Source organism: Homo sapiens, chromosome 10 (genome assembly GCF_000001405.40).
Source record: "Homo sapiens chromosome 10, GRCh38.p14 Primary Assembly".
NCBI lineage: Eukaryota > Metazoa > Chordata > Mammalia > Primates > Hominidae > Homo > Homo sapiens.
Genome location: NC_000010.11, coordinates 70,236,609 through 70,261,796, shown reverse-complemented (window position 1 = coordinate 70,261,796; position 25,188 = coordinate 70,236,609). Strand labels below are relative to the sequence as shown.

The window sequence follows — 25,188 nt, the reverse complement described above, 5'->3', positions numbered from 1 at the left end:
CAAAACAAAACAAAACAAACAAAACAACTGATGTCTGGGTCCTGTCACTAGAGATTCTGATTGTAACTGGCCTGGCATGGGTCTGAGCATTTGTTCTTTGCAAAGCTCTCCAGATGATTCTCGTGAGCAGCCAGTGTCGAGAACCACTGGCCTAGAACCCAAGACAGGGCTATGGGAGCAGAGAGCCAGGCAGGGCTGGACGGTCTAAAGCTCATGGAAAGAAATCACTGGTCAACATAAAGAAAATCTCACTAATACTGTTGACCCTTGAACAACATGGGTTTGAACTGCATGGGTCCATTTATATGAGGGTTTTTTTCAACTAAATGCAGATTAAAAATACAGCAAAACCCGTGTATATTAGGCCATTCTCATGCTGCTATAAGGACATACTTGAGACTGGGTAATTTATAGAGGAAAGAGGTTTGACTCACAGTTCTGCAGGGATGGGAAGGCCTCAGGAAACTTACAATCATGGTGGAAGGGGAAGCACATCCTTCTTCACAAGTCAGCAGGAGAGAGAAGAATGAGAACGGAGTGAAGGGAGAAGCCCCATATAAAACCATCAGATCTCGTGATGAGAACTTACTCACCATCACAAGAATAGCATGGAGGAAACCACTCCCACGATTCAGTTACCTCCCATGGGTCCTTCCCATGACTCGTGGGGATTATGGGAGCTACAATTCAAGATGAGATTTGGGTGGGGATACAGCCAAACCATATCACCATGTACATACAGAGGGCTGCCTTTTTCTATACACAGGTTCTGCAAGGCTGACTGCAGGACTTGATTATGTGTGGATTTTGGAATACTTGGGGGTCCTAGAACCAATGCACTGTATAAACGAGGGGATGACTGTAGTGAGAACTGTCCATGGTTTTATGGGCTGGTTGGTTCCTCATTTCTGAAAGTCTGCAAGCAGAGACCAGATAACACCTAGCAGGTCATGGAGGAAAGATCCAAGCTCAGAGGGGACCTGGCTTGGAGGGCTTTCAGTCTCTGGCTCTTGATGCGTGGGCATCTCTCACTCTGTGGGGGCCTCTGTCATTGCAGGGTGGCCCTTCGACAATGCCACATGCAAGATGAGCGGCTTGGTGCAGGGCATGTCTGTGTCGGCTTCCGTTTTCACACTGGTGGCCATTGCTGTGGAAAGGTGAGAGGTTTCCTGGCTGGATTATGCCTGAGCCAACTAGGGCCTGGCATTAAGAGGAGCCACTGCCTCTAATGCTGGGTTGGCTGGAAGGCTGGGGCTGCACCATGGTAAGTGGGGCTAAATCCTGAGCCACAAGGAGAAGGGCCCTGGGCCCAGCTGCCCTCTCCCTAAACTTGGGGAACCTGATGAGGACACTACCACCCCCTTCTGGAAGGCCTGAAGGTAGCCTTGGTTGGCTTTTGTTGGGATTCCTGGGGCCTGTGAGGAGCTCAAGAGCAGTCCTTATTTCCTGAGCAGCAGGAATCCTGCCACCTCTAAGTCTGAGCCAGGTGAGCCAGAGCTAAGGGGGCCAGCTTATGGGTGGGTCACGGTATGGCTGGGGAGGAAGGGTTTCTCCCTGCTCCTTATTCTGTCCCCACTGGCTCCTTGCTGGTTCCCGGCAGCCCAGGCTGTACTCAATCCCCACGTTCACCGCTTCTCGTCTCTCAGCCTCATATTCCATCAGATTCCCTGGTAAGTATAAATCTATCATGTGGCCAAAGGTATGGAGCAGAGCCAGGGAGAAGGAGGCTTGCAATCAATAAAGCACTGAACCCAGGAGGCCTCCATATTGCACTACATGAGTGCTCCTCCCCCACAGCATTGTTAGCAGGGGAAGGGCACCCTCTGGGTGCTTCACCCCAGGGAAAGGTGGGCAGGCAGATCAGCTGGAGATTTGCTCACTCCTGCCTTGGTGTATCATGTTGGGTGGGTCACCTAACTACTCTGAGCCCTTGTAGTCTCATCTGTAAAATGGTAGCTACCCTACAGGATGGTTGGGAGGCTTCAGTGAGCTCCTGCTTGTAAAAGCTTATGCACAGTTCTTGGCATAGAGTCCAAATATCAGTTGCTAATAGTATGTTGTTTCTTCTGCACACCCATCCCCTCCTCCTTGTTCTCTCCCCAGCACAGGCATATCTTAACCCTGCCCTTTGTGGAATCTAGTGTTCACATCCTCTCTCCACCTCAAGCCCAGTTTTTTGTAACTCAGTGAAGTAGGCAGCTGGAGTAATGAAGTGGGTTCTACTCTCCACAAGGCCACTAACTAGCTGGGTGATCAGGAGAAGTCCCTTCCCTTCATCGACCTTTGTTTTGTTATCATTGTTGAAGGAAATGAGAGTGTACAACTTCTCCCAGTGGTGTTTGCAGTATTCTTCAAGTCCCACCTCATCCAGGAAGCCTGCCCAGATTACCCCAAGATTCTCCTCCACCCATTTACTGCTATTGCATTCATAGCCAGCACTACAGGCTTTAAGAATTATTTATTCTCTGGAGATTTCTTTTTCTTTCTTTCTTTCTTTTTTTTTTTTGAGGGGGGAGACAGAGTCTTGCTCTGTCACCCAGGCTGGAGTGCCATGGCGATCTTGGCTGACTGCAACCTCTGCCTCCCGGGTTCAAGCCATTCTCGTGCCTCAGTCCCCGGAGTAGCTGGGATTGCAGGTGCGCACCACCATGCATGGCTAATTTTTGTCTTTTTAGTAGAGAAGGGTTTCACCATGTTGGCCAGGCTGGTCTCGAACTCCTGTCCTCAAGTGATCCACCCTCCTCAGCCTCCCAAAGTGCTGACATAAGCCACTATTCTCTGGAGCTTTCTTGAGTATGTGAAGTATGAAGCCAGTAGGTCAAAGTCATATAGGTTGAGATAACAAGGCCTGAGTCAGGCTGTGGGAGAGGTAAAAGGTCAGGCTATCAGGCCAAAAACTGGGTTGGCAGGAGGGCAGGACACAGTGTAGCGAAGTGGAAAGGACACTTGACTGAGAGTCAGCTCTAGACCTATGTTCCAGGGCAGGCTCTGACTCCAAACAGCCATGTGACCATAAGACCCCCACTGGGCAAGCTTTCCCCTCCATTAAACAAGTAAGATTGACTGGACATTCTTCAGGTTTCTATTTTCTGGCATCAGTAGATGACAGAAGCCATTCTGGGGAATAGGAGCCCCTCCTTTTTCCTCACTATTAAGCATTTGAAATGTCTCAAGAAGTGTGGTCAGTGTCATCTCACTTAATCTTCACAACTACCCAACAGAGTAGGTCATACTATGGGCTTCATTTTACAGATGAGGAAACTAAGGCTCAGAAAGTATTTTGAGTAACTTCCCCTCTGGTCATTCATGCATTTATCTAATCACAACCTAGGAATACTGAGATGAAAAGTCAAGGCATCTGCCCTCACAGAGCTTGCAGTTGAGCAATCGTCTTTGAACCATGCTGCAGGGGGAGGTTTTTACCTCCCCCTACAGCAGCTGTTTTCAACTCTGGTTGCACAGTAGACTTCTCCAGGAGCTTTTTTTTTTTTTGGAGACAAGGTCTTGCTCTATTGCCTTGGCTGGAGTGCAGTGGTCTGATCATGGCTCACTGCAGTCTCAGCCTCAACCTCCTGTGAAGGGGTGGCCTGCCTCTCCACACCTGTGGGTATTTCAAGTCGGGTGGGATGAGAGACTGAGAAAGAGAAATAAGACGCAGAGACAAAGTATAGAGAAACAACAGTGGGCCCAGGTGACCGGTGCTCTGCATACCAAGGACCTGCGCCGGCACCGGTCTCTGAGTTCCCTCAGTTTTTATTTATTATTATTTTCATTATTTCAGCAGAAAGGAATGTAGTAGGAGGGCAGGGTGATAATAAGGAGAAGGTCAGTAACAAACCTGTGAGCAATAGAATCTATGTCATAATTAAGTTCAAGGGAAGGTACTGTGACTGGACGTGCACGTAAGCCAGATTTATGTTTCTCTCCACCCAAACATCTCAGTGGAGTAAAGAATAACAAGGCAGCACTGCTGCAAACATGTCTCACCTCCCACCATAGGGTGGTTTTTCTCTCATCTCAGAACTGAACAAATGTACAATAGGGTTTTATACTGAGACATTCAGTTCCCAGGGGCAGGCAGGAGACAGTGGCCTTCCTCTATCTCAACTGCAAGAGGCTTTCCTCTTTTACTAATCCACCTCAGCACAGACCCTTTACAGGTGTTGGGCTGGGGGACGGTCAGGTCTTTCTCATCCCATGAGGCCATATTTCAGACTATCATATGGGGAGAAACTTTGGACAATACCCTGCTTTCAAGGGCAGAGGTCCCCGCGGCTTTCCGCAGTGCATTGTGCCCCTAGTTTATTGACACTAGAGAATGGCGATGACTTTTACCAAGTATACTGTTTGTAAACATTTTGTTAACAAGGCATGTCCTGCACAGCCCTAGATCCCTTAAACCTTGATTTCATACAACACATGTTTTTGTGAGCTCCAGGTTGGGTCAAAATGGCTGGGGCAAAGTGGCTGGGGCAAAGCTACAAATTAACAACATCTCAGCAAAGCAATTGTTTAAAGTACAAGTCTTTTTCAAAATGGAGTCTCTTATGTCTTCCCTTTCTACACAGACACAATAACAGTCTGATTTCTCTTTCTTTTCCCTACACTCCTGGACTCAAGTGATTATCCTGCCTCAGCCTCCTGTGTAGCTGGAAGAATAGGCAAGCATCCCCTCATCTGGTTAATTTTTTTGGTAGAGATGGGGTTTCACCATGTTTCCCAGGCTGGTCTCCAACTCCTGGGTTCAAGTGATCCTCCTGCCTTGGCCTCCCAAAGTGCTGGGATTATAAGCATGAACCATGGCACCTGACCCCAGGAGCTTTAAAAACAAAAACAGCACATAACAAATAATGCTAAAACCACTTTCTAGACTAATTAGGTTGGAATCCTTGGCCTGAAAAAATAGGCACGGGTTTTGTCTTTGTTGTTGAAATGCTTCAGGAGAGTCTCATGCACATGGAGGGTTTACAGCTACTGGTTTATATGGCATATGAAGCAAGACAAATCTGGGTTCAAGACTGGTCCTTGCAACTTGCTATGTGAACTTGAGCCAACTGCTTAACACTCGAGTCCCAGTTTCCTTGTCTGTAAATCAACAGTGTAGTAACTATCTTAAAGGCCTCACCTTTAAAAAATAATAAAGGGTGTAATAACAGATGCTGAGTTGTCCTCATGAGGAAATAAATGGTGCAGACTTGTCCTTGCATTGTAGAGATACTGATACTATGGCCAAGATGACATAGGGACAGCCTGACATGTAGGCTCTACATCTGACCTCCTGAGGTTTTCTGGAGAATCCATAAACAGAAACTGTGTTATTTGACGCACCTAATCGTCCTTGTCGAGGACAGACTGCGCACTCTGATCGCTCTGCTAGCTGCCAGCTAATCAGTTGACCCCCAAAAGTACACAAATGGCCCCGCAAGGAGGCTCATATCTATAATCCCAGAAATTCGGGAGGCCGAGGCCGGAGGATAGCTTGAGCCCAAGACTTTGAGACTAGCCTGGGCAACACAGTGAGACCTCATCTCTCCAAAAATTGAAAGAAATTAGCCGGCGAGGTGGCAGCGCATTCCTGTGGTTCCAGCTACTCAGGAGGCTGAGGTGGGAGGAGAGGATCACTTGAGCCCGGGAGGTGGAGACTGCAGGGAGCCGTAATCGCGCCACTGCACTCCAGACTGGGCGACAGAAGGAGGCCCTGTCTCAGGAAAAAAAAAAAAAAAAGGAGAAAAGTGCAAAAGTGCACACAGGATTCATTGTTCCCACACGATCTGCGGTTTCCTCCTCCCTTCTCATAAATCCTGTAGCTGCCTTTGTTCTTTGACTACTCAGCCAATTCAGGTCTGAGCTGTTCTTCGACGCCGCCCTAGATGCGATGATGAAGGTCAGGTGCCCGCATCCCACCCACCGTCCCCTCGCAGGGGCCCTAGGACCCACCCAGATCCCGCCTGTCTCTCTCCCCGCGGCAGGTTCCGCTGCATCGTGCACCCTTTCCGCGAGAAGCTGACCCTGCGGAAGGCGCTCGTCACCATCGCCGTCATCTGGGCCCTGGCGCTGCTCATCATGTGTCCCTCGGCCGTCACGCTGACCGTCACCCGTGAGGAGCACCACTTCATGGTGGACGCCCGCAACCGCTCCTACCCGCTCTACTCCTGCTGGGAGGCCTGGCCCGAGAAGGGCATGCGCAGGGTCTACACCACTGTGCTCTTCTCGCACATCTACCTGGCGCCGCTGGCGCTCATCGTGGTCATGTACGCCCGCATCGCGCGCAAGCTCTGCCAGGCCCCGGGCCCGGCCCCCGGGGGCGAGGAGGCTGCGGACCCGCGAGCATCGCGGCGCAGAGCGCGCGTGGTGCACATGCTGGTCATGGTGGCGCTGTTCTTCACGCTGTCCTGGCTGCCGCTCTGGGCGCTGCTGCTGCTCATCGACTACGGGCAGCTCAGCGCGCCGCAGCTGCACCTGGTCACCGTCTACGCCTTCCCCTTCGCGCACTGGCTGGCCTTCTTCAACAGCAGCGCCAACCCCATCATCTACGGCTACTTCAACGAGAACTTCCGCCGCGGCTTCCAGGCCGCCTTCCGCGCCCGCCTCTGCCCGCGCCCGTCGGGGAGCCACAAGGAGGCCTACTCCGAGCGGCCCGGCGGGCTTCTGCACAGGCGGGTCTTCGTGGTGGTGCGGCCCAGCGACTCCGGGCTGCCCTCTGAGTCGGGCCCTAGCAGTGGGGCCCCCAGGCCCGGCCGCCTCCCGCTGCGGAATGGGCGGGTGGCTCACCACGGCTTGCCCAGGGAAGGGCCTGGCTGCTCCCACCTGCCCCTCACCATTCCAGCCTGGGATATCTGAGGGGGTCCAGGGAGGGCGGGACGCTGCCTCAGGGCCCCGATTGGACACGAGATACATGCAGGCGATAGCGGCCTGGTGTGGTTAGGTGAGGATGCGTGGTCCCTCCCTCTCCAGAGCCAGGCAGTGGTGGGCAGCTGCTGGTGATGTCTTCTCTGCTGCCTTCACCCTCAGTAGAGGCAAATGCGGGGGACGGGAAGGAACCAACTTGCCCTGTGTGGTGGGCTTGACAAACATCATCTCACTGAATTGTCACAACGCTTTGGAGATAGGTTGTCTTCTCTTCCTTCTACAGATGCAAAAACTGAGGCCTGGAGAGATGTGACTCACCCAAGTTTCTCAGGTGGAAATGGCATGTGAAGCTATCTGACTCCAATACCTGTGTGGTTTTTATCATCTCCAGCTGGCTCCAAGAGGGCCCGGTAAGGTAGAACACTGTGAACTGAGTAAGTCCTAATTAGGCAGCTAGGAAGAAGCGAAAAGCAAAGCCGGCCTGTCCCTTGATGCTTTGTGTCCATGTGAGGGAGTCCCTCATGTTCCGTTACTGAAGCCACTCCCCTTGATCCTTTTCTAGAAGAACACGGTGTGCCCCCGCTGCCGGCTCTAATGTGTTGGTTTGTCTTGTTTGTTCCAAGAAGTTCCAAGAAGCCATTGTCCTCAGAGGACGGCAGCTTCAGAACGAGCCTTGGGGAGGCTGCCTCAGTTGCAGGGCACTCTAGGTCTTGCCCTCTGGGTCTGAGCTTAGAGAACAGAGGAGGGACTCCCAGACCAAGGCAAGAACTTACAATGCCACAGACATTGTAATGCTGCAGGGCCACAGGAGGTGTCCTTTTACGTACTCATAGACAACGAGGAAGGGGAAGCACGGTATGCATTTTCCACATTGGGAAACACATCTGCTCACTGGGGCTGCAGGTACAAAGCCTTGCCCAAGGTCTCTCTCCTCCCTGCTTCCTGGGAGGGAGAAGTTGGTCAACTGAAGCTGCAGCCGGAGTGCCATTTGGAGACTCCTGAAGGACACACACTAAACTCTTCCCCAGCACAAATGACTTGTGTACTCTAAGGAGGTACCAGGAGAGCCCTGTTTACTCTGGCTTTCCCCCAACACCCCTGCATCAACTTGAAGAAATGTGGCTTCTTTCCAGGAGACGGGAGCACATGGGATTGCCTTGGAGGGTCCTTTCACAGGCCCCTTCATCTTGCACTTAAATGGACATTTCCCCCCACCTCTGTAGAAAACACGGTGTTGCTAGAAATTTAGTAAACAAAAAAGAAACGTTTCCAGGGGTCGGGGCTCTGAGGCTCTGTTCCCTTAACCGACACACAGTGACTGTTTACTGTTTGCTCCACTCTAAGTTCCAGGTTTAGGGGCAGAAGAAAATTCCTAAGCAGTTGTACAATACATTCTCCAAGCATGTCCCCAGACACCGTCTCATTTAATCCATAGTAATGAGGTTGAAGGAGATTGAATGTTATTGTCATTTCACAAAGTGACTGAAGCTCAAAGGGGCCAAGTTTCCAGGGCCACAGAGGGGCAGGATTTAGATTAAAATTTGTCTTCTGATTGTTCTTCCCACCCCACATGCTGCCTTTCAAGGAAGGTGGGGATGACGGGAGAGCTGGTAATTTCCCCAAAGGCTTTTTTGCCTAACAGTGAACCAGAATGCCCACTCCTGGTGCCCAAGCTCTTGGTCTGGGAAAGAAATCTATTGTGTTTACTCTCGTAATGTCCAGCCTGAGTTGTTCTTGCCCTGGTGCTGAGCAGGCTGCCAAGAGCCATCATGACCTTGTCCTGGTTCTGGGGGTGATGGATGAGGGTCTGAGAGAGAGTATGCCCTCCTGCCCCTCAGTGGTATTAGCTGGTGCCATGCATTTCTGGTACTGTATCAGTGTCATGTGTCATATGGGCCAGAGAGTTCCCAGCTGGTTCTGGGCTATTTGTTGTGAAGAAGTCTGACTCCAGGCTCTAAAAGTAAGCCAGAGAAAGGGCCGTCTCAAACCCAAAATGCCTATCCCTATGGCTGGGTGGGAATTGTCTGAAGACACCACCTGGTGTCTCCTCTGGGGTGTGTTTCTCCTTTAGCATAGCCTCCCCAAGTACAAGATCAGCATTTGAGGCTGGGGGCGGGTAGGGATACCAAAGTACTCACTCAAGCCAACCTTTCCATCACAGCCCCTTTGTCTTCCCCCAAAAGATGTCATGCTTTGAAAGGTTATAACTGCCCAAAAAACTCCTTCAGCTCTCGCTGAAGGTTACAATTAACATATTTTGCTGTTATTTTTGTTTCTTCTAAAAAATCAATCAGAGGCTATACCTGCCCATTCAGATCTGAGTGATAACAGGCATGACAATGCTTTAATGAAGCAGTGAGACATTGTGGGTATGTGGGGAGTTCGTTTCTTTGTGGATGTGGTAAAATATAAATAATATAGAATTTACCATTTTGGCCATTTTTAAGTGTACAGGACTGGAATTAAATATATTCACATTGTTGTGTAACCATTACCACTATCTATTTTCAGAATTTTTTATTATCCCAAACTGCAACTCTGTATCTATAAACAATATCACCGCATCCCCTCTCCTCCTAGCCCCTGGTAACTACTATTCTACTTTCTGTCTGTGAATTTGGCCACTCTAGGTACTTCTATACAAGAGGAATCATACAATACTATCCTTTTTGACTGGCTTCTTTCACTTAGCACAATGTCTTCAAGGTTCATCCATGTTGTGGCATGTGTCAGAATTTCTTTCATTTTAAAAGCTGAATAATATCCCATTGTCTAGATAGTCCTCATTTTGTTCATTCATCCATCAGTGGACACTTAGGTTGTTTCTATCTTTTGGCTACTGTGAATAATGTATGGAGTTTTTAGATGCTAGAAGTAGTTCCTGACAATAGTGCCTGTGTGAATCCTGAGGACAGAGACCCCAGGTTGGGAACCAGGGTCTCTCCCAACTTACCCTTTATGGCTGACAAAACAGAGGCTTCCAGGACAGCTGTGATGTGTCTCACTTCCCTGTGCCCACCCCAGCTGCTCTGGGCTTCTGCTGGGCTTTACTTCCTGACTAGAGTGGCTAGAAAATTGTATGTTTCCTCTACAAGATGTTTTTATGAAGCTATTTTATAATTATAGATTTATTATCCTCACTGGATTCCTATGTTCTGACACCTGGACCCTGACGGGGCCTTGTGCAGCCTAGGCGCCCACGGGCAAGTGGTGTGGACCATTCCTGACACGCCATCCTCCACCTCCAGGTTGGCTGGGTTTCCTAAGGTGACTGCCCTTTCATAAGCGGCAAGTTCGGAGATGAACGGCATGCGTGATGGGGGAAAAGGGCCAGAGGCCTGTTGACACTGAGCATCCCCACCCAGAGGGCCTCCTGGAGGGACTCTGTGTCCTGTCCTGCCATGTGCGGCATGAGTGGTCACCCTCATTGTGGCTCTCCACTGATGAATGGCCTCTTGACTTTACCAAGACCAGGCAGCACCCAACAGACCAATGTGAGCTGGAGGCGGATGCCGGGCCTGCACCCCACAAACCACAGTCTGCCCAGCCCTGTGCTGAGGAGTCTCTCTTGGGGCCTGGAGGACTCATGAGCTGATCTGCATTGGAATGGAGGGCGAAGTTGGCAAAGGAAGATGAGAGCCCCCCTATCATTAGTCTACTGTGTATTCATCCAAAAAGCAAGGCGAGAGCCAAGCCCAGAGCTGGATGGACAAAGGATTGCTATTAAGCTCTGTACCTTTTTGCACCCGTTTCCTCAGCTCACCCCTCAGAAGTGTCACTGATGAAAGATAGATGAGAAGGAGGCGGTCTAAATGGGCTTCATTACAATGAACAATGTTGAATGAACAATACATTCCTTGTTGAATAACCCAATTATTTATGATCATGGCATTTTATTGTTGTTTTTCTCTCTCTCTACAAAAGCTCTACATAATCATTGTGGAAATTTTACAAGATTTCAATAAGCAAAGACAAGAAAATGAAAAGCACCCAAAATCCTACCGCAAGAGACAAGTATAGCGTCCTTTTCTGTGCATATATCTCTCAATATATTTAACATTCTTGGAACAGCTTTATTGAGGCAGAACTTGAATATGAAAAAATTCACCCGTCTTAAGTGTACTGCTTGACGAGTTTTAACAGTTGTATATAGTTATGTCCCTACCACACTGAAGATATTTTCATCATCCTAAAATGTTTCCTTGTGCTAATTTATAGTCAGTCCTTTCCCACGCTCCTGATTCCAGAAAACGATGATCTGATTTCAGAATGTCATGTAGATGGAATCAGACAGTTTGCAGCCGAGTCTGGTTTCTTTCACTTAAAATGATGTTTGCAAGATTCATTCATGCTGTAGCATGTATCAGTAGTTTTTCCTTTTGATTGCTGAGTACTATTCCACTGTATGAATAGATCACATTTTGTTTATCCATTCATCAGTTGATAGACATTTGGTTGTCACCAGTTTTTGGCTATTATTAATAATGTTGCCATTAACATTCATGTACAAGTCCTTATATGTATGTGTATGTATGTTTTCCATTTTTCTTGGGTAGATACCTAGGATCGAGATTGGTAGGTTGCATGGTCTGTGTAAAATTTAACTGTATAAGAAACTGCCAAAGTGCTTTCCAAAGTCGCTCTACCATTTTGTACTCCCATCAGCAGTGTATGAATGTTCCAGTTGTTCTACATCCTGGCCAACACTTAGCAGTATTAGCCTTTTGAAAATTTCCAGGCCAGGTGTGGTGGCTCACGTCTGTAATCCCAGCACTTTGGGAGGCTGAGGTGCGTAGATCACCTGAGGTCAGGAGTTCAAGACCAGCCTGGCCAATATGGGGAAACCCCATCTCTACTAAAAACACAAAAATTAGCCAGGCATGGTGGCACACACCTGTAGTCCCAGCTACTTGGGAGGCTGAGACACGAGAATCACTTGAACCTAGGAGGCAGAGGATGCAGTGAGCCAAAATTGCGCCACTGCACTCCAACCTGGGTGACAGAGCAAGACTGTCTCAAAAAAAAAAAAAAAAAGAAAGAAAGAAAGAAGAAAAGAAAATTTCCCTGATGACTAGTGATGCTGGGCATCTTTTTGTGTGCTTACTGCATTCTTATATCTTTTATTGTAAAGTATCTTCAAATCTTTCTTTTAAAAACATGATTTTGGCTGGGTGCGGTGGCTCACACCTGTAATCCCAGCACTTTGGGAGGCCAAGGTGGGCAGATCACCTGAGGTCAGGAGTTCGAGACCAGCCTGGTCAACGTGATGAAACCCCATCTCTACCAAAAACACAAAAATTAGCCAGGTGTGGTGATGTGCGCCTGTAATCCCAGCTACTTGGGAGACTGAGGCAGGAGAATCACTTGAACCTGGGAGGCAGAGGTTTCAGTGAGCCAAGATGGCGCCACTGCACTCCAGCCTAGGTGACAGAGTGAGATTCCATCTCAAATAATAATAATAATAATAATATTTTATTGTAGAGACTTTAGCACAAAAACTTGCCCTAACTCTAAGGGATTTTTTTGTGAATATAATTTTTTTTTTTTTGAGACAGAGTCTTGCTTTTGTTGCCCAGGCTGGAGTGCAATGACGTGATTTTGGCTCACTGCAACCTTTGCCTCCTAGGTTCAAGCGATTCTCCTGCCTCAGCCTCCTGAGTAGCTGGGATTACAGGCATCTGCCACCACACCCAGCTAATTTTTGTATTTTTAATAGAGATGGGATTTTACCATGTTGGCCAGGCTGGTCTTGAACTCCTGACCTCAGATGATCTGCCCGCCTCGGCCTCCCAAAGTGCTGGGATTACAGGCGCGAGCCACCATGCTCCACCAATGATTTTTAAATCCATTAAGAATGGGTCTAAAGCAAGGTAAGAGGATATAGTGTGATAGAAGTAGGAGGGCTATTTGAACAGATGGTTAGGAATGGCCTCTGTGAAGAGGTGATGTTTGAGTACAGATATGAAGTGAGAGAGGGAGCCATGTGACTAGCTGGGGAAGAAACAAACCCAGACAGAGAGAGCATCATGTACACAGGTTCTAAGGGAGGAGTGGGATAACTGAAAAAGGAATTAGTAGATATCAAAATGCTATTGAATTTCAATAATTAAATTTCTGGTTAACTCAAAACATGTATTCAGTGTCTATTAAAAGCCAGGCATAGGCCAGGCATGGGGGCTCATGCCTGTAATCCCAGCACTTTGGGAGGCCGAGGTGGGTCGATCACTTGAGGTCAGGAGTTCGAGACCAGCCTGGCTAACATGGTGAAACCCCATCTCTATTAAAAATACAAAAATTAGCCAAGCATGATGGCAGGCACCTGTAATCCCAGCTACTTGGGAGGCTGAGGGAGGGGAATTGCTTGAACCTGGGAGGCGGAGTTTGCAGTAAGCCAAGATAGCGCCACTGTACTCTATCCTGGGCAACAGAGTGAGACTCCATCTCAAAAAAAAAAAAAAAAAACAAAAAACAAAAAAAAAACGCCAGGCATAGTACTACGTACTTTGTGTCTGTTATTTATTTCTCACAGTGGACCATAAGCTCCATGAGGACAGGAACTATGTCTATTTCACTTACCTTTGTGGATTCAGGTAGGATATTGCCTGGTGCATAGGAGGCACTCAATAAATGTCTGTTGAATGAATGAAGTAATTAACTAAGCAGGTATTTATTATTATTCCCATACAATAGATTGGAAAAGCAAGGCTCAGAGAAGTAAAGTAACTTACTGGAGGTTATATAACCAGGAGGTCCTGAAGGTGAGACTCAAACCTTAGTCTATCTGACCACAAAGTCCAGGTTTTTGCCATTCCCCAAGCTGCTGTGGTCTCTCCTTCCTACATCTGGGAAACTGAGGTTCAGAGTAAAAGAAAGAGCCTTGATGGAGGTCTCCCATAATCCTAAAAATAAAACCAGCCAGCCACAGGCTCCAGGCTGCTGTTTTGGCCATGAGACACATTTGCATCACTTTCAATGGCTTCCAAAGATTTGGGATAGAAGGAATACCAGCAGTTTAGGTAAAAGGTTTAAATTTAGTTTGACTCAATACCACATCAAGCCCTCAAAGCAGCCACGGGCTCCCCTGCACTGTGGTCACTGAAGGAGCAAAAGCTGCTGAACTGGCTGTAGCGTCCTGCCTTGAGTTGTTTGTGTTCTCCTGCTAGCTGCAATGCCCAGGTCTTTGAATCCTGTCACCAATAAATGATGCTGTTGTCATGTGCAAGCAACCAAATTAATGTGGGTGGAAAAACCCAAGCTTAGTGATTTGGGCAAATTAGTTTATCTGTCACATAGCCAGTGGTGGTGTTAAATCACTCTCTGTTTGAGGAGTAATCACTCTCCCCCCATCACCACCCTGTCTTCCTTTCGGTGTGGAAGTTAGAACAGCCAAGTCAATCCGTTTCAGTGACTGAGCGATCTACATTTCTGTGTTTTGACTGCCCCCCAGGAGGAGTATGTTGTGTAGTGCATTTTGTTTGTCCATAGTGCTGTCTCGTGGTCCTCCGAAGCCACCTCTAATGATCATAATTGCCTCTTTTATTCTTCTCTAGTCCGTGTCTTTGCAAAATGATTCTGTTACCTATGCTATAAATTATGGAAAATAAACTCATTATGAAAGAGTTGTTTACTTTTTACGCTCCATTGCATTAGTAGTTGTTCCCTTTTGCTTCCTCACTGTGAATGAAGTTTTCAGGCAAAATAGCGATCCTTTCCAAAAAGGTAGAGAGTAGGCTATGTGACCACTAACATAACTGCAGTATTTCCATTTTGCGGATGGGTAATTAAGTTGCATGGAGGCGAAGGCATATTACTGAGGGCCCCATAGCTCCTAAGTGTTGACAGCAAAACAACATTTTAGGCTTTGTGGATGGCAGACCAGTGTTCTTAACACAACACCAAATTACCTGTTTTGTTAACTCCACATTTATAAATATTTGTGACAGTTTAGGTGAAACTTAATTCTAGCATGTTAACATGAACTCAACATACTTAGTGTCTGTTGAGTCTGGGAACATTGGACCTCTCCACAGTCCAGTGAGCAGAGACAGAAAACAGAAAAACCTACAATCAGGTACCATGGTCGGTCAAAAAAGTTAGGGAACAGCCAGAGGGGTGTCAGAAAAGGGTTCCCATAAGAAGCCTGAAATAAGTCTTAGAGACTGAGTTTGGGACCACCACTTAGAGATGAGGGTTTGAAGCAGGAAAGGGATGCACGGAGACCTTCATCTTCTAGAGCTAATGTTGGCAGCATGTAGAGTACACTAAAGGGAAAGGGAGCTGGAGGCCAGTAAGGCCGGAGGTATTTACAGGCATTCAGGTGAGAAATCTGGGATTGGCTAAGGCAATAGGGATAGAGAAGAAACAACAAATTCAAGAGATGTTTGACAGATCAGTTCAATGTTGCCTGGCCTGGGAGGATGTGGCAGGATGGGTCATCACCTATGATGCTTTTAGTTGCCAGTAACAGAAACTTGACTCAAACTGGCTTAAACTAAAAAGAATATAATGGCTCACATAACAGCTAAGTGCAGAGGACTGGTTGGTCCAGGGGCTCAACAATGTCTTCAGGGACCCAGGTCATCTCCATTCCTCTGCTCTTCCATCTACCCCACGTGACCTTCATCCTCAGTCTGGCTTCCCTCAGGGTGTAGAATGTGGCCACTAGCAATCAAAGCTCCTTGCTTCCTTGTTTACATCGACTCAGAGAAGCGGGGAGGGGACAGGAATCTCTATCATCATGAGTTTCTCTAAGAGCAAGCAGTGGCAAACTCTCAATGGCTCAAATTATTAGGTGAGGTACCTATTCCTGAACCCATCCCTAAGGCCAGGGGAATGCCACATTCTGAATCCCATGTTCTGGGATGGGGTTCCTGAACAGTTAATGAAGATGAGATTATAATGATTTGGACAAATCAATGCCCACCCTGGACCTAGAGTCAATCCCCAGTTTAATTAGTCTGGGGAAAGGGTGAAAGGCTGTTGAGAAGTTGTATCCATTAGAATGTTTTTCAGCTGCAAGAAACAGAATACCCTGAATCAAACTGGTTTAAACAGGACAGCACAACAAAGTCAATTTATTATCTCACATTACAAGACCTGAGGAAGGGAAGCTCCAGGGTTGTTAATTCAGCAGTTTAATGACACCATCAAGAGTTAAAGTTTTCCCACTATGCATCTTCATTGTAGATTTATCAATATTACCTAAGTCTACCTCTCTTCCAGCTTGTAAGGCAGTGGTTGGCAAATTTCTATGACAATGTCCAACAGAAGAAGAGTGGGCCTCCTCCTATGTATCTCTCATAGATGCAAGAGATCCTTTCCCAGAAGCCTCTTTCACAGCTCCCCTTACATTGCTACGGCCAGAACTGTGTCACATACCCGTGACCAAACCAGTCACGGGCATGAGGAATGAAACAACTGTGATGAACTTAGACTGATCAGGATCCGTGTCCAGGGCTGGGGATGGCACTGAGTTAGGGGTGGTAGGTGGAGGCATGTCTCTGAGCAGAGTACTGTTAGAAAGGAGGAAGAGAGAGTGAACAGGTGTTAGGTGGGTACCACCAGTGGCTGCTGCAGAGGTCAACCAGGAAGAGCCCAGAGGAACTTCCAGGTTGGCTGACTGGGCAGATACTGCCTCATTAACTGAGATAGAAGACTCAAGGGAGAAATGGTGAATTCACTTTTGAACTGGGGGAAGGGGTTGTTTGTTACCACAATATTCTCTAGAAAAACTAATAGAGCAATTGGTACCAAGAGCAGAATGCTGTCCTAAAATGTGTATTGTTGGCTTTGGGGCCCAGTGGTAGGCAGCAAAGAAAATGTAGCCTTTGACCACCTGGAAGACAAACAATATACTAAATAGCTTATGATTTTAGAGAGGTGGGAAACAGATTATTATTAGTGTGACTTGGTTGCTTTCAGCTGCGTTTGACAGGATTCCACAATAAACAGATGAACTCAGAAAAGAACTTGGTGATTTGTAAGCAGGGATGAAAGGAAAAAGAGAGAATCCAGAAGTTCCAGGGTTGATAGATGCAACTGTTGTTCATCTCCAACCAATAAAGGCAGATATTGAGAAATGCTTTGATTTACGAAGCTGATTAAGTCTCAACTTAAAACTTAGCCTTGGGACAGACCAAGGGGCTGAGCAACACCTCCTAGTGAGTCCTTTGTTGGATAAAATGGCTCAGGGAAAACAGACCAAAGGCATGGTTCTCCCATGGAAGCCTGTTCAAGTTACCTTAGTAATCATGCCCAGAAAGCAAAGAATTATAGGTGTGGTGATTGACACACAATTTTGACTAGAATCAGACAGGTAAAGCACTATCCAAGCTTTCAAGAGCATTGTGAAGCCAAAGACACACCAGCCTGGCTTAAAAGGGACTATGACTGTTGGGGAAAAACCTTTGGGCTCTGAAGTTTCTGTGGGCAGGAAGGAGGCTGAGAAAGCGACTCAATCCTCATGGAGTGGATATTTTCTATAATAGATATGGCCAAGAAGGATAATGCAGAGGGTAAAGCCAAGAGCCCCGAAGAATGATAACGGGGGCTACTTCCAGGTAGCTGAACTGGGACCAAATGAAAGAACATTTCCTAGACACAGAAAGATGTGGAATTCTAAGAACCACTGATGTTCTTTCTGTTTATGAATGGGAGTGTTAATCTCAGTGCTTATTCTGTCTTTGGCCATTGCATGTCAGATATAGATGTGGGGTAGGGAAACCTTTTCTCTATAAAAGATTAGCTGGGTGTAGTGGCATGCACCTGTGGTCCCAGCTACTTGGGAGGCTGAGGTGGGAGGATCACTTGAGCCTGGGAAGTTGAGGCTGCAATAAGCTGAGATTGTGCCATTGAACTCCAGTCTAGGTGACAGAGTGAGATCCTGTCTTAAAAACAACAACAATAAAAAGATACAGATGTGGGGTGATAGGTAACATTTGCTTGTTTTTGAGTTCATACATCTCTGGATGAAGAGGAGCAGTATCTGGACATAATGTGGAAATTATCATGAGATACTAAACTTGATACCATGATTGTTTGAGACTTTCGGGCGTTACTCTTTAGGGAGAGTGAGTATGTTTTTCCTGTGAAAAGGGAGAGATGAACATTTATGACTAAGAAGGTGGGCTGTAATAGAGGGTATTATTGTTCCCAGTTAATTGCTTCTCTCCCTGTAAGAGGATTATACAGTCTTAAACATGGTTACGCATTTGTAGTTCCCCCTAGAGGAGAAGTATTCATATGTCCATGCCCAAAGTCATAGGACTTTGTGCATAGAATGAGTGAAAGTGACATATACCATTTCTGAGCAAAAGCTTGTGAGCCATTGTACAGTTTGCCATTTCTTTTTTCCCTCTGCAGCAAGACCAAGATGGTGGATACTTCTTCAGCCTGAGCTGAACACGAAGGCAGATGGGGCAGAACCATAGCTGACCCATTGTCACCACCATGTAACCTGAACAAGAAATATGTGTTCATTCGCATAAGCAAATGAGATTTCTTATATTGTTTGTTACAGCAGCATAAACAGGTAAAAGTTGACTAACACAGCTGGCTTCCACTGGGGCCCAGCCAATGGAGACACAGGCAGGAGATTGGAGTGGTTGAGGAAGGGAAGGGGTGTGTCTCCCTTCCTTTTCTGCCCTAGGCAGCATCTCCAGCAGCAACTCTGTACAGATGAACAGGCCCACTGTGCTGCCAGCTCCACCCAGAGACCCTGCGCTCCTCCCTTTGGGTGACTGTGCCTCTTCCTCCCATCTCTCCAGCCTAAAGATGATAGTGGCTTCCTGCCATTGCCAATCTCTATTTGGTTTCTCAACTCTTCTATTACCTGTTGACCAATTCCCTGCCTTAAAGTTCCTGTCTTAAACACTTTGAGTAGCTTTTGTTTCTCTGGTTGACTTTAGTTGATACACCATCCTATGTACAAAGTTTGGAGTAACTTAATCTCAGATGTCTCAAACTTTGTTTGGAAAAAAGATATATTTGCTTTTATAATTGTTTTTTTAACCATCTTAACCATTTTTAAATGTACAGTTCAGTGGCATGAACACTCATATTTACAACCATCACCACCATCCATCTCCAGAACTTACTTATTTTCTTTCTTTCTTTCTTTCTTTTCTTTCTCTCTCTCTCTCTCTCTCTCTCTTTTTTGAGACAGTCTCGCTCTGTTGCCTAGACTGGAGTGCAGTGGCACGATCTCGGCTCACTGCAACCTCCGCCTCCCAGGTTAAAGTGATTCTCCTGCCTCAGCCTCCCGAGTAGCTGGGACTACAGGTGCATACCACCAGGCCCAGCTAATTTTTTGTATTTTTATTAGGGATGGGGTTTTGCCATGTTGGCCAGGCTGGTCTTGAACTCCTGACCTCAAGTGATCCACCCACCTCGGCCTCCCAAAGTACTGGGATTACAGGCGTGAGCCATGGCACCCAGCCTCCAGAATTTTTTCATCTCCGCAAACTGAAACTCCACATCTATTAAACAATAACTACTTTTTCCTCCTTCCTTCCAGGCCCTGACAACCACCACTCTTCTTTCTGTCTCTATGAATTCCACTATTCTAGGTACCTCATGTAAGTGGAGGTACACACTATTGGCCGTTTTCTTGTTTGGCTTATTTCACTGAACATAATAACAGATTTCAATATAAATTTGAAAGTTTTCATGTTATAGGACCTCTAGGTGATAGTTGACACTAAAGATATCCATGAGATAACCTAGACAGACAGTATCTCTCTCTCTCGAGAGAGAACATGAGAAATAAGAAAGACGATGATTAAGACGATGAAATGAAGAAGGCTGAGAGGGAGAATGAGAAATGAGTAGCAAAGAAGTAGGAAGAACATGAGAAGAGAATGTAGTCTTGGCTGGGCACCGTGGCTCACACCTGTAATCCTAGCACTTTGGGAGGCTGAGGTGGGTGGATCATTTGAGGCCAGGAGTTCAAGACCAGCCTGGCCAACATGGCGAAAGTTCATGTCTTCAAGTTACATCCATGTTGTAGCATGTGTCAGAATTTCACTCCTTTTTCAAGCTACCAGTCTGTCTTACCCAAGATATTTTTGGTTTTGAGTCATAGAAACTTTCCATTTAAACTGGTTTAATGGAAGGAATTTATTATCTAATGAGACAAGAAGTTCAGAGGCAAAGTAGTTCCGGGGTTAGTTAAATCAGTAGCTCAAAAATATCTTTTTTTTTTTTTTTTTTTTGAGATGGAGTCTTGCTCTGCCGCCCAGGCTGGAGTGCAGTGGCACGATCTCGGCTCACTGCAAGCTCTGCCTCCTGGGTTCATGCCATTCTCCTGCCTCAGCCTCCCGAGTAGCTGGGACTACAGGCGCCTGCCACCATGCCTGGCTAATTTTTTTTTCTTTTTTGGATTTTTAGTAGAGACGGGGTTTCACCGTGTTAGCCAGGATGGTCTTGATCTCCTGACCTCATGATCCACCCGCCTCAGCTTCCCAGAGTGCTGGGATTACAGGCGTGAACCACTGCGCCTGGCCAATAATATCTTAAGAACACAAGTTATTTCCATCTTTCTGTTTTGCTGATTTCTGCATGGCAGCTTGGTTCCCAGGCAAACTCTCCTCATGGTGGAGATCTCATAAGAAAACTGCAGCACTGTTAGCCATTTGTATTAATCAGCTCTTGCTAGATTATGCTGCTGTAACGAACAGCCCCCAAATCTCTGTGACTTCAAACAAGCATCCAGAACTATACTCTTCCTAAGATAAAGGAAAAATGTTCCAGAAACCCTCTAGCAGCCTTCCCTGCTAGAGGGACAGTACTGTATCACATTTACATGACTGAAAAAAATCACTGGCAATCATGATTGTCTTTGCTCATTTAAAACTCATCCCTTGGCTGGGCGCAGTGGCTCATGCCTGTAATCCCGGCACTTTGGGAGGCTGAGGTGGGCAGGTCATGAGGTCAAGAGATTGAGACCATCCTGGCCAACATGGTGAAACCCTGTCTCTACTAAAAATACAAAAATTAGCGGGCGTGGTGGCGTGCGCCTGTAATCCCAGCTACTAGGGAGGCTGAGGCAGGAGAATCGCTTGAACCCAGGAGGGCAGAGGTTGCAGTGAGCTGAGATCACGCCACTGCACTCCAACCTGGTGACAGAGGGAGACTCCGTCTCAAACAAACAACTCTCTCCCTCTCCCTCTCCCCCCTTCCCCTCCCCCTCCCCCTCCCTCCTCTCTTCTCTCTTCTCTCTTTCTTTCCACGGTCTCCCTCTGTTGCTGAGGCTGGACTGTACTGCCGTGATCTCGGCTCATTGCAACCTCCCTGCCTCGGGCTCCCGTGATTCTCCTGCCTCGGCCTGCCGAGTGCCTGGGATTGCAGGCACACACCGCCAGGCCTAACTGGTTTTTGTATTTTTGGTGGAGACGGGGTTTCACCGTGTTGGCCGGGCTGGTCTCCAGCTCCTGACCTCCAGCTCCTGTTCTGCCTGCCTCGGCCTTCTGAGGTGCTGGGATTGCAGACGGAGTCTCGCTCACTCAATGCTCAATGTTGCCCAGGCTGGAGTGCAGTGGCGTGATCTCGGCTCGCTACAACCTCCACCTCCCAGCCGCCTGCCTTGGCCTCCCAAAGTGCTAAGATTACAGCCTCTGCCCGGCCGCCACCCCGTCTAGGAAGTGTCTCTGCCCGGCCGCCCTGTCTGGGATGTGAGGAGCGCCTCTGCCCAGCCACCACCCCATCTGGGAAATGGGGAGCGCCTCTGCCCAGCCGCCCATCGTCTGGAATGTGAGGAGCACCTCTGCCTGGGTGCCCCATCTGGGAAGTGAGGAGCGCCTCTGCTCGGCAGCTGCCCCATCTGGGAAGTGAGGAGCGCCTCTGCCCAGCAGCCGCCCCGTCTGGGAAGTGAGGAGCGTCTCTGCACAGCCACCCCGTCTGGGAAGTGGGGAGCGTCTCTGCCCGGCAGCCACCCTGTCTGGGAAGTGGGGAGCGCCTCTGCCGGGCCGCCCCGTCTGGGAAGTGAGGAGCGCCTCTGCCCGGCCGCCCCGTCTGGGATGTGAGGAGTGCCTCTGCCCGGCCACCACCCCATCTGGGAAATGGGGAGCGCCTCTGCCCGGCCGCCCATCGTCTGGAATGTGAGGAGCACCTCTGCCTGGCCTCCCTGTCTGGGAAGTGAGGAGTGCCTCTGCCTGGCGGCCGCCCCGTCTGGGAGGTGAGGAGCATCTCTGCCCGGCTGCCCCGTCTGGGAAGTGGGGAGCGTCTCTGCCCGGCTGCCCCGTCTGGGATGTGAGGAGTGCCTCTGCCCGGCCGCCACCCCATCTGGGAAATGGGGAACGCCTCTGCCCGGCCGCCCCAATCTGTGATGTGAAGAGCGCCTCTGCCCGGCCGCCCCATCTGGGAGGTGAGGAGCACCTCTGCCTGGCCGCCCCGTCTGAGAAGTGAGGCGCGCCTCTGCCCAGCAGCCACCCCGTCTGGGAAGTGGGGAGCGCCTCTGTCCGGCCGCCCCGTCTGAGAAGTGAGGAGCGCCTCTGCCCGGCAGCTGCCCCGTCTGGGAAGTGGGGAGTGCCTCTGCCCGGCCGCCCCGTCTGGGAAGTGAGGAGTGCCTCTGCCCGGCCGCCCATCATCTGGGATGTGAGGAGCGCCTCTGCCCAGCCGCCACCCCATCTGGGAAATGGGGAGCGCCTCTGCCCGGCCACCCCGTCTGGGAGGTGAGGAGCGCCTCTGATTGGCCGCCCCATCTGGGAAGTGAGGAGTGTCTCTGCCCAGCTGCCCCATCTGGGAAGTGGGGAGCGTCTCTGCCCGGCTGCCCCGTCTGGGATGTGAGGAGCGCCTCTGCCCAGCTGCCACCCCATCTGGGAAATGGGGAGTGCCTCTGCCCGGCTGCCCCATCTGGGAGGTGAGGGGCGCCTCTGCCTGGCCGCCCCGTCTGGGAACTGAGGAGCGCCTCTGCCCGGCTGCCCATCGTCTGGAATGTGAGGAGCACCTCTGCCTGGCCGCCCTGTCTGGGAAGTGAGGAGTGCCTCTGCCCGGCAGCCGCCCCATCTGGGAAGTGAGGAGTGTCTCTGCCCGGCTGCCCCGTCTGGGAAGTGGGGAGCGTCTCTGCCCGGCCGCCCCGTCTGGGATGTGAGGAGTGCCTCTGCCCGGCCGCCACCCCATCTGGGAAATGGGGAACGCCTCTGCCCGGCCGCCCCGTCTGGGAGGTGAGGAGCGCCTCTGCCCGGCCGCCCTTCATCTGGGAGGTGAGGAGCGCCTCTGCCCGGCTGCCCCGTCTGGGAGGTGAGGAGCACCTCTGCCCGGCCGCCCCGTCTGGGAGGTGAGGAGCGCCTCTGCATGGCCGCTGTGCAATCTTCCAAGTGTGAAGTGACAGCCTTTCTGCAGGTGTACCCAACAGCTCCGAAGAGACAGCGACCATCGAGAACAGGCCATGATGATGATGGCGGTTTTGTCGAAAAGCAAAGGGGGAAATGTGGGGAAAAGAAAGAGAGATCAGATTGTTACTGTGTCTGTGTAGAAAGAAGTAGACATAGGAGACTCCATTTTGTTCTGTACTAAGAAAAATTCTTCTGCCTTGGGATGCTGTTAATCTATAACCTTACCCCCAACCCTGTGCTCTCTGAAACGTGTGCTGTGTCAACTCAGGGTTAAATGGATTAAGGGTGGTGCTAGATGTGCTTTGTTAAACAGATATTTGAAGGCAGCATGCTCGTTAAGAGTCATCACCACTCCCTAATCTCAAGTACCCAGGGACACAAACACTGCGGAAGGCCGCAGGGACCTCTGCCTAGGAAAACTAGAGACCTTTGTTCATGTGTTTATCGGCTGTCCTTCTCTCCACTATTATCCTATGACCCTGCCACATCCCCCTCTCTGAGAAACACCCAAGAATGATCAATAAATACTAAAACAAACAAACAAAAAAAACTTCATTTCATGAAGATGAAGGAAGGGCTGGCTGCCCTGAGGCAAAGGTGTGCGCAGGAGAGTGGCTTCTTTTTATTTTATTTAATTTATTTTTTGAGACAGAGGTTTTGCTCTTGTTGCTCAGGCTGAAGTGCAATGGCGTGATCTTGGCTCACTGCAACCTCTGCCTCCTGGGTTTAAGCGATTCTCCTGTCTCACCCTCCTGAGTAGCTGGGATTACAGACACGTGCCAACACGCCCAGCTGATTTTTGTATTTTTAGTAGAGACGGGGTTTCACCATGTTGGCCAGGTTAGTCTTGAACTCCTGACCTCAGGTGATCCGTCCTCCTCAGCCTCCTAAAGTGCTGGGATTACAGGCATGAACCACCACATCCAGTCTCTTGAACAAAATCAGGATTCTGTTAGAAAAGAGAAGGTAATATGGCCATTGGGCAGGGAGCTAGGAGTGTTTGGTATTAATACCCTCCATCTCACCCACTCTCTCTCAGTAAATGACATACCATTCAACTCAACCAGTTCTTGTAGCCAGAAACCTGGGACTCATCCTCAGATCTCCACCTCTCTCCTCTTCCACACTATTCAATCAATAATTCCATTGATTCTACCTTGAACACAGCTCTGTAATCAGCCTTCTCTTTTGCCGCCCAAGTTCAGGAAACCACCATCACCTTTCATCTGGGGCCCTGCAGTGGACTGCATTGGTCTCCCTGCCTCTAGTCTTACTAAACCTCAATCCAAGTTCTAAGCTGCTGATAGTACCTTTTCTTAATGCAATTCTGATCATGTTATTTTCCCATTAAAAACCCTTCTTAAGTTTCCCATTGCTCTTAGGAGAAAGTTCAATCCTCATATCGTGCCTTCCAAGGCTTTCTAGCTTTTGGCCCTGACTATTTCTCTAGTCTCACCGCTTTCTTTTTTTTTTTTTTTTTTTTTTGAGACGGAGTCTTGCTTTGTTGCCAGGCTGGAGTGCAGTGGTGTGATCTCAGCTCACTGCAACCTCTGCCTTCTGGGTTCAAGAGATTCTCCTGCCTCAGCCTCCTGAGTAGCTGGGATTACAGGTGCGTGCCACCACATCCAGCTTATTTTTGTATATTTTTAAATAGAGACGGGTTTCACCATGTTGGTCAGGCTGGTCTCGAACTCCTGAGCTCGTGATCCGCCGGCCTTGGCCTCCCAAAGTGTTGGGATTACAGGCATGAGCCACCGCGCCCGGCCTAGTCTCACCTAACCGTTTTCTGGCTTTTGCCTTGTCCCCTTTGCCTTATTAATTCCATGTCATCATTCAGATTGCAGGTTACAGGTCACTTCCTTGAAGAGGTTTTCTGCTCCCATAATGTAATGCCCTGTACTTCCTATATCATTCTACTCACCCAAATTTATTATAATTATTTGTTGAAGTCTGTCTTTCTTCTAGACTATAAGTTCTGACTATAAGGCCTAGTAGGGCTACATCCCTA

The 25,188-nt window shown here is 48.7% G+C and overlaps 1 protein-coding gene across 1 annotated transcript in view, besides 1 other annotated feature; it reads left to right on the top strand.

The window, feature by feature from the left end:
* NPFFR1 (neuropeptide FF receptor 1) overlaps nucleotides 1-14,468 on the top strand; it is a 36,676-nt gene extending 22,208 nt beyond the window's left edge. The window contains exons 3-4 of the mRNA NM_022146.5: nucleotides 1,058-1,157; nucleotides 5,970-14,468. Coding sequence (NP_071429.1) covers nucleotides 1,058-1,157; nucleotides 5,970-6,840 — 971 coding nt within the window. The 3' untranslated portion in view covers nucleotides 6,841-14,468. The remainder of the gene's footprint in view (nucleotides 1-1,057; nucleotides 1,158-5,969) is intronic.
* Nucleotides 17,792-18,228: a transcriptional cis regulatory region, noted in NCBI's record as "H2 fragment used in the reporter construct". NCBI's record gives its function as "negatively affects activity of a beta-globin enhancer-driven SV40 promoter in transfected K562 erythroleukemia cells {active_cell/tissue: K562}" and the evidence as "EXISTENCE:reporter gene assay evidence [ECO:0000049][PMID:30886051]".